At 36.8% G+C, this 13,279-nt stretch overlaps 1 protein-coding gene across 63 annotated transcripts in view; it reads right to left on the reverse strand.

The window, feature by feature from the left end:
* The window catches only part of INPP4B (inositol polyphosphate-4-phosphatase type II B), an 823,376-nt gene that overhangs the window by 122,457 nt on the left and 687,640 nt on the right, over positions 1-13,279 (reverse strand). For all 63 annotated transcript variants that reach the window (NR_169617.1, NR_169615.1, NR_169599.1 and 60 more), the window contains one exon: positions 224-380. Coding sequence is in view for 54 of the 63 variants with exons in the window: in NM_003866.3 (NP_003857.2) it covers positions 224-380 (157 nt within the window). In the remaining 9 variants the exon portion in view is untranslated. The remainder of the gene's footprint in view (positions 1-223; positions 381-13,279) is intronic.

A 13,279-nucleotide genomic window follows, 5' to 3' on the forward strand; every position in this document is an offset into this window, starting at 1 on the left:
AGATAAGAAAAAAAAAAGAACATTGCTAGCAGTTCCGAAAACACAACTGAGATGCAATTTGATAAATAGCCTTCCATCATCCAAGCCAGAGCAGTGGAAAAGCATGCTATCAGCACTCTCATCAAAGATACTATTGACTCCTCTTCTTCTATATCATTTTTTTTTCACGAGTTTCTCATTTTGTTTACTCAGTAAATGATTGGGAAAAAAAATTATTTCTTACCTCTTGGGTGAGAGGGAATGGCATCTGTTAATGAAGGTTCCTTTTCTCCATCATTGTTGCCGCCACTGCCTTCACTGCCACCATCTCTTTCAATCAGTTTGTCCACCATAGCAATAATGCAGTTCAGGCTCTTCCCCACATTGGCCCACACCCTGTCCTGAAAAAAGCATGAGTATCACTACATATTTTTGTCACAAAAACAAGATAAGGCAAAGTCGGATAAATCTATTTTAGAGAAGCATTTGGAAGGGTAGTCATTAGAATGCAGATTGAGTAGCTCTAAATTCCCATTAATTTGGTCAGACTATGGATATATAATGAATCTATGTTCTCTTAATGAAGCAAAAATGAAGTATTATAAACCTTTTTATTTAGTCCATTATTTTCACTGTCATAAAGAAATGATGACCATCATACAATATTAATCCATAATTGAGCACAAATTATGATATTTTAAATTGAAGGCATCTATTCTCTTTATCAACACTTATTATGAAAGCAAACACACACCAACATTTTTAAAGAATGGCCTCCTGTTGTGTGAGAAATTCTTGGAGTATTTTTGGTTATATATACATATATATATATTTCAGTAGCATTAAGTATATTCACATTGTCATACACCCATTACTAGCATCCACTTTCAGAACTTTTTCATCTTCCTAGACTGAAACTCTGCACCCCTTACACACATGAATTTCACATTCCTTCCTCTTCCAGCCCTTGGCAACCACATTTTGCTTTCTGTCCCTGTGAATTTGACTATTCTAGGTACTAGAAATTCTGGAAGTATGGTCTTTAGACCACTTCTAACAGAACAGCCCAGAAAATTAGTATGCAGATCCCTGGGTCCCACCAACTGAATCAGAAACCCTGGGAGGAAGGCACAATAAATTGAAATTTTGACAAATTGCTCAGATACTTCTGACCATACTGTCTTAGAACCTCTACTTAATATTATACACTAGAGCTACATAATAAGTCATTTTGAGTGATTTATTTCCCAAGAAGCAGCCTGTACCACTAACGGGCCTCTTTGCCACTAATCTTCCCAGTTCTCATTAGTAGCCATTTTTGCTTAAGGTAATGCATGCAACTTAATTCTTTGATTCACAAAATTGCTATTAATTGTTTAAATACTATTTTGAATACAGATATCACAATAGACGACTGCCATTCCTCACTTCCTTCGTGCTTCTCTTCCTACATCATCTAGCATTGACTCCTAATTTCTCTCTCCAGGCATAATACCCAGATAGATTTATGGTGTTTTCCCTGCATCACACCACAGAACAACCTTTCAGTGGGTGCTTTCTCTATAATAGAGCTATCCCAGGAACCTGGAGTACCACTTAATGTAAAGATAGTACTAAATTAGAGTATTTCCTTAGTGGATTGTACATTTTTTCTCAAATGTACTTTTTTTGCCAAAGCTAATTTTGCTACTTCATAAACATATAAATTAATTTTGGAAAGGATAAATCAAGGAATAGAAACTAAAGTTGAATTTAGATTATGTGATGGCTATGTTGTAAAGACGGAGTGCACAGACATGCCTACTTTAGCTGAGGAATAATAGGGTTTTAAAGAAAAGCAGAACATTCAAAGTTAGCACAGGTAATTTTGGATCCTTATGTGACATGCTACCTAGGAGACACTGAGAAAAGTACTTCCTCCCTGGGGAAGCCCAGTTGTCTCAGTTGGAATGATAATTCTTGCTCTAACTACCTCACCAAGCTGCAATGGGAGCCAAATGCTGTGTTTTCTAAGAAGGCACTTGTTGAAATTATTACTATTTGGCAAAATCACATCCAAAACTTACTGGCTTTCCTAAGTAAATCAAGCTTTCCCCTCACACTGTAACCTTGAGTAGGAAGTACTCTATTAACCACAAGCGATTATAACAATCTTTCCCCTAAAGTCAGATCTTTCCACTAAGAATTGAAAGCACTTTACCTCTAAGAAAAATTTAAACACCAATTGCATCCATAGATCACATCATCATCTGCCTGTTGTCTGAGAAAATGGTGTAAAGGAACCTCTGAACCATAAGCCAGGAGAGCTAAGGAAGCTCATTTATTCCAGGAAGAAATGCTGGGGAAGGGTAAGTAACCTGATGGTCTTGACATCTGGATTGGGATTTGGTGAGGAGCTTCCATTCTGGAGCACAATAACAAACTCATGCCCTCTCTTTTGAATATGCCTGAATCACTACCACCGACTGCATTTTTAAGGTGATTAAATTGAAAAATGAAACAACTCTCCAGCTAAAACTGGAAATCAACTCTGCTACTGAGGAAAAAAAGGGGAGCAGGTTCCCCTCAATTTTCCAGACTAGCTTTGTTCATAAGTTGTTAACTCTCTTGCTGTTGCCCATGTTGAAAGGAACTTGTGTGTGTGTTTGTGTGTGTGTGTGTGCACTTGCGCATGTATGTGGCACAGTTGGCTCACTGCAGTCTTGATCTCCTGGGTTCAAATGATCCTCCCACCTCAGCCTCCCAAGTAGCTGGGACCACAGGCATGCCCACCACGCCTAACTAATTTTTGTAGTTTTTGCAGAGATGGGGTTTTACTATGTTGCCCAGGCTGATCTTGAATTCCTGGGCTCAAGTGATCCACCCACCTCAGCCTCCCAAAGTGCTGGGATTACAGGTGGGGAGCCACTGCACCAAAGGGAACTTTATATTTTGATCAAAGATCAAGTCGCGTTGCATGTTGCTTTTCTTATATAAAGGAATGTAAGGGATAGAACAACTTCTCTTAATCACATCTCTGAAGAGCCTGAAAATAAAAGTATTTAAAAGATAATTTGACATTCACACGTATATATTGTTCTTCCTTTCCAAACAGCTCAGGTTATAAGATTTCGCTCATAGAAAAGTCACCTTTGTAGCCTGTAAAGAGATCTTCATTGGTCTGAGGAGCGTAGTGAAGCATGTTCATTGGCTAAAACCAATAAGCATGTCATAAAGGGTTACATATATGGTAGGCAGAATAAAAAAATTTAGTCATTAATGTTTAGAGGACACAGGAGATGACACAATATTTATTAGGGTGAGAAATTGAGCAGTCTCTTCTGTGTTACTAATACATAATTTATGAATAATCAAATATTTGCTTGAGGGGACACTCAGCAGCAGACCCTAAGCAGACTCCTTCTATCCCTTGTCTGTTGGAGAGGAGATGCTGCCTATCTGGTGGTGAGAGAATTCAGCCTTGCTGGTCATGGCCTCCTTCTCTTTTATGGCCTTTACTAAGAAGTTATTACTACTTAGTAGCAGTTACTAAAGGTACTGATGTGTGTTTCTGTCTCTAATATTAGACTGAGTTATTTGAGAACTGTGTTCTTGTTTTATGGCACAGGGCCTGGCTCTCAGTAATTTTTGTTGGAGGAAAGGAAGGCAGGTAGAGAAAGAGGGAGGAAGCAAGAGAAGGAGGTGACTCCAGAGACAGATTAAAGGCTGGTGTTTATATTCACTTTGTATATGCACATTAGCTAATTTAATGTTCAAAAGCCACCAGATAAGGTTACTGTTATTGACTCAGTTTTTAGAGATAAAGAGAATTCTGGTAAGAGATGTTTAATAAAACTCAACATTAAAATGGTATAAATGGACTAGAACTTCCATTCTGTTTGGCTCCAAAGACTTGATTCTTCCACTGTGATTTTCCACAGAAATGGGGTACACAGTAGCACAAACTAAGCAGAAAAAAAAACAAAAACAAAAACAGATAAAGAAACCCAGGAAGGGTCAGGTAGAGGTGTGTGCCACTTTACAGGAGCAAGACTAGGTTTTAGTTATCTGAGACTTAAATATGAGTCCAATGGTGGATCCTAGGATAAGAGATAAGTCTACAAAATGAACTGGCTGGTCCCGTCCCATGGACCCTCAAGTTTGAGATCAAAGGTGTCTTATAAGCAGGGATAGAGCAGTCACTTGGTTAAAGGGTCATTCACTTTGGCACAAAGGACATAAGTGACCTGCATTAATAAAGGAGTATCAGGTTCAAGGCCCCAGATCCATTCATGTGACCAGGATATAGAGCAAGGTGCAGATAACAAGGAGGAAAGATGATAATTCAATTACTAGAAGACTGGAGTACATGATAGTCAATTATTTTGAAACTACGATGCTAGAGAAGGGTAAGAAAGATTTTTAAAGGGAAGCATTGAATATCTGAGTTCTTTCCTAAACAAGCCCCTTTCCATTATATCTCTGTGAAAACATACACAGAGGAAAGTTACCAGCAAAAATACATTCTCATTCTGATGATTTTTACTCACTGTGCCAGTCCACAGGGGAAATGCCTTATGCCTAGATTGCTGGTATGAGGCTAGGGCCTACTCTTCTTTCTTCTCTACTAAAATCACACAATTAGTTTCAGATTGCTCCCATGATGAAGAAAGGCTGATTAGTGGGAAGACAACGGTAGCATAAGAATGTGGCTGCAGTATGTGGTGCTTCCAGCCCCTCCAGATCCTGCTTAGCTCCCTGCCACATGAGAGGATTAAAAACAACCACTACCACCTATCAGAGAAATGGATTGCTGGGACTTTTCCCCAGAAATAGCAGCTATTATCTTGCTAGGTCCCCTACTGTATGAAGGAAGTAATGGGGAATCGGCAGGTTAAAGTCTAATCTTTATTCAATGGAGCCAAATTGGTGTATTTAACCTCCATGGAGCTTTCACAACAACCCTACTCCTTGGAGGTCAACTGGCTATAAAATTTTCCTGGTCAATAAGGTCATGGAGTCAGTGGGGAACCAGCAGCAATATTTATTTCACTCTGAGTCAGGTGCTCATTTATTTCTGGGTTACAACCTAAGGTAACATGCAGGTCAAACCCAATGGCAGTAGATGCAAAAATGTTGATGGACGTCGCCAGGGGGACATTACACCTGGCAGATGAGCCATGAAGGCAGGCAGCATGATGGTGACTCAGCATGTCACACAATTGTGAGTTTGGTAGCATCAAGAGAAATCCTGACTGCTTTGGAGCAGTAGTTAACTTAAAAAATATATTCCGTAATACTTAGCTGACCAACTTTTTCTAAGGCCAATTTTTGATCAGAAAGAATGTGAAGACTAAGCCAGAGCTGATATAGATGTACAAAATAGCCTGATGTATCTGTATTTCCATGAATAATTTCTCACTTGTCATTATCAATTTCTGAGGACTTTGATTAGAAACAGTCAGTGAATTAACAAGGCCAATTCCATCTTTAAAAAGGAGCTTCCATTTATCCTTGATTTTGATTGACAGCAATATGCTCTATACTGGCCAAGGTCTGTAATACTGCAAACCTTTATTCTTTCAAGAGCTGGATAGCTTTTCTCCCTGAACCCTTCATCCAGACTGTTAGGTAAATTGAGTTGCACTTAAAATATTGTATGTTTCAAACTGGCACGTGTATAGCCCACGGTATCTCTTTCTTTCACACACACACACCACATATCAACATCCACACATCAACACACACACACATTCACTAAAAATAGCCAGACATGTAAACATCCACCAGATGAGATTCCCTGATCTTTGCTTCCTATTGGTCCTCCTGCTTTAACTTCACCTATTTCCTTATGTAAAAATACCTGACCTTCATCTCCCAATAACTACACTCAGTTTAAAATTCACTCCTGGCCTTATCTGGGAAAGGAATTCCTTGTAACAATTAACCACTGTTTCTCCAATTTTGACCTCTCCATATTCCCCTGGCTTGGATTTTTCCCAGACCTATATTATAGGCTATCACAAAATCAGGTCTATCTATGAGTGCCACATTAATCTTCATTGATCACCCTCCTCTTTTGATTATTTCTAATCAAAAGCAGGCTCAGTACTATAGCCAATATTACATTCTTCTCTCAGCCTGGAGGCACATCTATAGTTGGGTAGACCTAGATAATTCTTATGTCTCATTAGTCTTCAAAATGAAACCTTTATCCAGATGTCTTCTTGCAGTCTTAGAAACATGCTGTTGCATTAAATCAACATATATTTACTAGGCATCTGCTATATGCCGGCTCAGCGCTGAACATCAAAGATTTGAAGGAAACCTTGGAAGATCTATTATTTCCAATATCTTGAAACATGTTGACTTTTATACCTAGAATACTTTCTCCGTTATCTTCCATCAATCTAAATTCTTGCCCTTTCAAATCTCACCATCTCCAAGAATGTTTCATGCTTCTCTCTGCCTAACATGCTTTTTTGTCTTTTCTTTTTTTTTTTTTTTTTTTTTTTTTTTGACGGAGTCTCGCTCTGTCCCCCAGGCTGGAGTGCAGTGCCACAATCTCGGCTCACTGCAAGCTCCGCCTCCCGGGTTCATGCCATTCTCCTGCCTCAGCCTCCCGGAGTAGCTGGGACTACAGGCGCCCACCACCACACCCGGCTAATTTTTTTGTATTTTTAGTAGAGACGGAGTTTCACCGTGTTAGCCAGGATGGTCTCGATCTCCTGAGCTCATGATCCACCCGCCTGGGCCTCCCAAAGTGCTGGGATTACAGGCGTGAGTCACCGCACCCGGCACTTTTTTTTCTTTTTAATAGACTGTGTGCTCTATAAATGTAATGACTATTATTTTTTAATCCTTTCATTCTCATGTCTTAGTCCTAGAGAGGAAATAGATGCATAAAAGAAGAATGGATACAGGAATAAAAGAAAGAAAAAGAGGATAATTCTTCCATCTTTTCCGACTGTCACATAACGACTCTGAAAATTTTGGGCGTTTTTAAATTTCAAAATTTCTTCTTCTTTCTTTTATTTTTAGAGATAAGATCTTCTGTTGCCCAGACCAGAGTGCAGTGGGGTGATCATAGCTCACTGCAACCTCAAACACCTAGGCTTAAGCAATCTTCCTGCCTCAGCCTCCCAAGTAGCAGGGACGACAAGGTGTCTGCCACCACACTTGGCTTGGCATTTTTAATGTGTATCACACAACCACCTGCATCCTTAGAATATCTTTCAATACCTCTGCTCATTTTATGAGTGCTAGTCATCTTACTTAAATGAGATGATATGACTGTTAAGGTCAGGTTTCATATAAGTGCCTATACCACTGTTGCACACTGTTTATACTTATTGAATATCTATTGACTGACTTACTAATCTGTTATTTGGTAGTAAAAAAAAACTATACTATAAGAAGTTCTCATTACATGCATCTTCAAATTGAATTTATAACCAAGTTCCTACTCTGAATGGCTGCATTCAACCTAATAAATGCCACATCATGCTAAAGCTTTCAATTCAGTGCAAATATTAAATAAAACATTTAATAAGTGAAAAAATTCCACTGATTGACTAAAGCTTTTAACTTTAAATTGGTAATTGGATGTTATCTGCACACTATTAGATACTTGCACAACTGGCTGAATTGTATGACATTATCAGTTAGTGTGTTGTGCACAACCATTTTCAAACACCAATTCTTTTTAATTGTATGAACCTTGATAAATCAAGCCAACAGTCTACCTATATTTACCATAGTGTTTCCTTCACTTATTCACTAAATTTTGGAGTTAAAAAACTTTCTGTTTGGGAAACAATATCTCATTATTCAAAATAGAATATATTAAAGTTTGAGGGCACTTGATTTGAATGTAATAATACATTTCTAATGTGTATGTATGCAAGTTTGTATATTCATTATACACAGGCACATCAAAATACCTGATTTTGAACCAGGCATTATAAATGTCTAGAAAATATCCAAGGGAGATGATGGTATCCAATACAGAACTGCAGGAAAATCATTACATTATTTTACATAATCATTACATTATTTCATTACATTAATAGAAGTAAAATATCTATTAAAATACAGGTTTGAATTGGAGGATGAGCTGTTGATATCAGCAAGTCTATCCATTCACTTATTCCTACATTAACTCTGAAAAAGACATTGAGCTAGGATGTATAAGATGTGTTAGGTGTTATAAAACAGGGTTTTATAGGTGAAAATATTAACTGCATGTGGGAAAATCTAGAAATTGGCAAGATTTCATGAATATGCATGCACATAAAGATTTCACCTGGGGTTTCTTTTCTTTAATAGAACATTTGTGCATTTTAATGGACCAGTCATGAACTTTGCTTAATCACCCTTTGTGGACCTTAATATTGGATAAGTATTCAAAGCACATTTCTCTTGGGTGATATAGACTGGAGAAGTTCAGGAATGTTTCCCATCCATCAAGAAAACAGAGGATAGAACACATTCAGTTGCCATATAGGGAACAACTGGCCCCATTCTCCCTGCCTTTGACTGCCCTTTCTGATGGTGAGAGTGAATGCTTTGAGTGTTCCCTCCTCCTTTTAAGATTAACAGAACCATACAACCCTATTATGTGTGACTTAGGGATAAAAAAAAAAAGAAAAACCTGGGACAAGGGACAACTAGTCACTTTCAATTTATATTTGCTGGGAAACATCTGAAGAAATTATTTCTGTGTAACTAGAACCTTTGTAATCTGCACATTAATAATTAAATAAAGTTGCCATCACTGGTTTCTAGAGGCTTCTGAAGGCCTTCATTAGTCATGACCTTAGCTTTGGTCATCACTGATTTTCTGTGTCTATCTTGAATTTTACCACTTTCTATATTTGAAGATATTTTGAAGATGACTTAAATAGTCACTACAGAGTTGATTAAGACACTAGGAAATATGCACTAGGGAGAGGGGGATATTTTGCAGATGGCTAGAATAGTCATCTTAGAGTTGATTAAGACACTGGGAAGTAAGAACCAAGAAGAGAAGGACATAGCTGGGTACTCTTCACTGAAGGGGAGAAACAAAATCCTCAAAAGGACTCATGAATTATAGTGGGAGAAAAGCTACTGGACATAGTGCAGAATTATATTAAGTTGAAATATTCTCTGTTTCAAAATAAGAAGACAAATCAAAATAATCTGCAGACAAATTTCAAAGACATTAATCTATTCTATAAATGTGTATTGAGTACCTTTCGTGTTCACATGCTCCACTAACTGTGTGAATGCAACAGTGAATGAGACATTGTTTTTTTCCTATCAAAGCTTATAAAGTTCATGAACACATGGAGAAAACAGACATATAAACAACTGATTATAATCAGTGTTCACTAGGCTATGTGCTCCTGTAATATAAGAATAAGGCTTTATTATACAAAATGATTTGAAGTTGGATATATATATATACATATATTAATATATATACACACATATATATGCATCTATCACTTACAAAATTTGGAAGTAAATGGCCATATTTTAGTAGACATAATACTCATTTAGGTAACCAAGCTATAAGGTGTTGCTTTGAAAAAGTTTAATCATAGATTAATATCAAGGAGTCTATAAAAATTTGTTACTTCTAAAGAATGAGAATTATCTATCTCCTTCTTATTAAGATCAGGACAATGGTTTTAAATCACATCTAGCCAATCAGATAACTGAACAAAATCTTTTGAATATTAATTTTCACAGGTACCTCTGCATTATGCATGGTCTCAATGTTTTTCTGTAGACGTAATGTTTTCTAAGATGGACAGAGTAGTTGGACAAGAGAAGTTGGGAATATAGATCACTATAGATTTCCTATGGAGATACCTGGCTAAACATGTTTTGTTCTCAACAGTTAACAATGCTTGCAACTGTCTATGCTCACTGCTACCAATTATGGTAGTATAAATAGCTCTTCAATGCTCCTGTCAAGCTTGGCCCCCTTATGCCTAGTGTTCCATTATTGGAATGCTAAGCATGCAGTTATTTATATCCTACTGCTCAAGGTCATCGCCAAGGTCTGATTTTTCACTCATGCAGAAATTCAAAAAATTGCAGCCTCAGGCATAAATGGGTTAAGCATTCACATCTGCTGTAGGCATCATTAGAGAAAGGTATAGTACAAAATGAACTGTATAAAATTTGTAAGGAATATATCAGAAGATGGTTCATATAAATCTTATTCCCAAACATAATCTTTGGTAGTATTGAGTTACAGAATGGCCACAGATTTTTAGGTTATCTATGGAGTCTATTAATAGGATGTTTTACATAAATATGACTATGAATTTGTGCTATTGTTTCTAAAGTCTATAAAATTATTGAAAAATTAATATGGATGGATCATCCATTGTGTTTATGTAACATAAACACATTTAACATAATATGAAATAGCAAATGTTTGCCTAGCTTAAGAAAGAAGACTAAAATTTTAAATTTGGCTTATATTTGTAACATGAAGGGAATTAATTGGATAATTTGGATGCTGAAATGCCGCTTGATGCAGAAATGTAGATCAATTAAAAATGGGTTTTGTGTCTGTCTAAATACTAAGAATTGTTTTTCTAGTTTTGCAGTTTGCTAGAATGGATCAGAATATAAAGGATCAGAAGTTTCTTTTTTAACAATTGATTTGAATAGAAGTAGGCAGATTTAGCCCTTAACCTATCACTATAGTAATTTTGAAATTAAATCACAGTGTTCCACAGAATTTCAGAATTATTAGAAACCACAAAAACTAGGTCAACTTAATAGTTTGGTTAAATGACATGCTTTCACATTTTGGACAAACTAATCTTGGAATCCCAGCTGCTGGAAGCATCTGTTGCAGAGATGTAGAGAAAGAAAAGTAATATGTCATCTTAACTGGCTAAAAGAGAATGGTATGTTAGTCTATTCCTTGGCACAGATTGTTATACAATCCCAAATATTCCTTTGGGGTTTAATTGTTTACTAGCTTTTCAGGAAAATAAACCCTTAAAGCATTCCATTATTTAATAAGTAAAATTCAGCAAATAACAGACTTTTTTGTAAACATTCATTTTAGTTTCAATCTTTACCATATTGACTAGATGATTATTATCCAGATTCATATGCCATCAATTTTGTCAACAAAACAAGTTGAAAAGAGAAAGGACAGCCTCATAGTGATTTAGAGTGAGCAGGATTCTCTTTTTTGACTTCAAAAGAATGGTTCTTACCTGCATCAGCCGGGTAGGATTTAAGTGTAATCTAACACCATTTATTTGCTTCCCAAATACTTATTATAAGAAGCTAAATACAGTTGTTCAAGTCAGGTAATTATTACAGTCACTATCAGAAATTAAGTAAAACAAACAAAAAATGCTTAATGGAATTACTGTAACCTTATTTGCAAACGTAAGCCAATTTAAGTGATCAGGGAATATCTTCACATAATATCACAGAAACCCAATTGAATTAATTTAAAATGCTGAGTTACTACCAGCATTGACTAGACTTGTAATCAGCACTGAAACTTTTCTAACAACTAATTAAAAAAGGGAGTATACAAAGTTATGTTTCTAATTCATTTAATACCACAGTCTCTAAAGGCATCTTCAATTAGCTACATTTTCTTTAGTTTTACTCAATTTATCAAAGTTAGATAAAGCTTTGAGAATAATGTTAGTGTTTATGACTCTGGTGAAATATTGTTTCTATCTTTTTATAAGGGATTTCTATCCTCTGATGAAGGAATGTTTTCAGTAGAAAGCGGTTGCTAAGGAAAATCAATGAAAATGTTATATACCAAACAAACTCGGTTCTTGTTTGCAAAAAGAGTAAAATTATATTAGAAGGAGAGAATTAGAAGTAACTTTTCTGAGTGGGAAAGATTTTTCTTGTAATTATGGTAAATTTAGGCAAAGCTTGTATATGCTTTCCAGAAACAATGAGTTCAGAAGGAGGCTTAGAAATGACATTAAGGAGATGCAGAGAGCAATGCAGCCCTTCATTATTGCCCAATCCTTTTGCCTTTGAAGGACAACAAGAGAAACTGAGATGACAGCTTTTCATCAACTGGAGAAAAGAATCAGAAAGACTTTTTTCCTGGTGTTAAGACTAGAAAATATTCCCAAAAGAATAATGAATGCTAAACAAACAACCATGCCACCTGATACTCCAGCCTTGGCTGGCCCATCACAAAGCCTGGAATTATTCTCAAATTTTTCACGTTACTCATTAGCTCAAGTACTCATTTCTTCGGTGCCTATTTGAAACCTTCACCACTCCCTCCAGTCCTCCCCGTCTTTTTCTCTTAGCACATGGTTCTACTTTATGGATAAAAGCAGCCATCCAGCCCCACCCACCCTCACATCTTCACATCCTCCCTGCAGTCTCAGGAGAAGTGCCTGCTCTTCCACCTGGACCCTACCGTTGACTTTCTTCCTTCTCTTGTAAGGACCTTGCTCCATCAGTTATCACCTCTGTGCCTCTCACATAGCCTTTGGAATATAACATGCTCAAATTTCACTCACTTTAAAACAAAACATGTAAATAACTAATAATAATCACAGGCACAAACACACACACTAACTACCTCTCTCTGTATGTCAGCTATTATGCTCCATCTAAAAGGGCACCACATCTTCTTTCTTGAATGATTAACTTATACTCAGATTTAAATCTCCAGAATTACTTCTGGCAACACCACTATGGCTACCACATTCTTGCTGTATCCCATGTACATCTCTAAGGCTGCACTGCGATTGCTATTTGTCTTTCTACAGCCCTGAATAGGCTGTGGAGTAACTGAGGGCCAACGTTGTTCACCTGCTGTCCCCAGCATGTGGCACAGTGAATAAGGCAGAACAGGTACTCAGTAACACTGACTGAAGGGAATAGTGCTCTGTAAACCTTCTCAACTAATGATACAGTCCCCACTTTCTTCCGTCTTTGCCCATCATAAGACAGTTCTGGACGTAAAATTTTGAGTTGAAGTCATATTAGCAGAAACTGTCTTCTATCATGTTTCTTTCTAAGCTTTGTTGCAAAATGTTGTAACTATTTGTTTACATATTTTTATCTATCACTAGACTCTGAGCTCCAAGAACTAAGGATCTAACATTACTTACCTTCCCACTTGAAATACTTAATAAAAGGTTTCAAAAATTATCTAAAGAAAAGGAAACAAGGAAGGAGAGGGACTATTTTCAACAGGAAGAGGGGGTCAAGGTGAGGGGGAAGGGTTTGTAAAACATAGTGAGTTAAAATGAGGGGGAAAAATTCCAAGATTCTCACTTGATTTAATATAAAATGGTAATTATTT

This window comes from Homo sapiens, chromosome 4 (genome assembly GCF_000001405.40).
Source record: "Homo sapiens chromosome 4, GRCh38.p14 Primary Assembly".
NCBI lineage: Eukaryota > Metazoa > Chordata > Mammalia > Primates > Hominidae > Homo > Homo sapiens.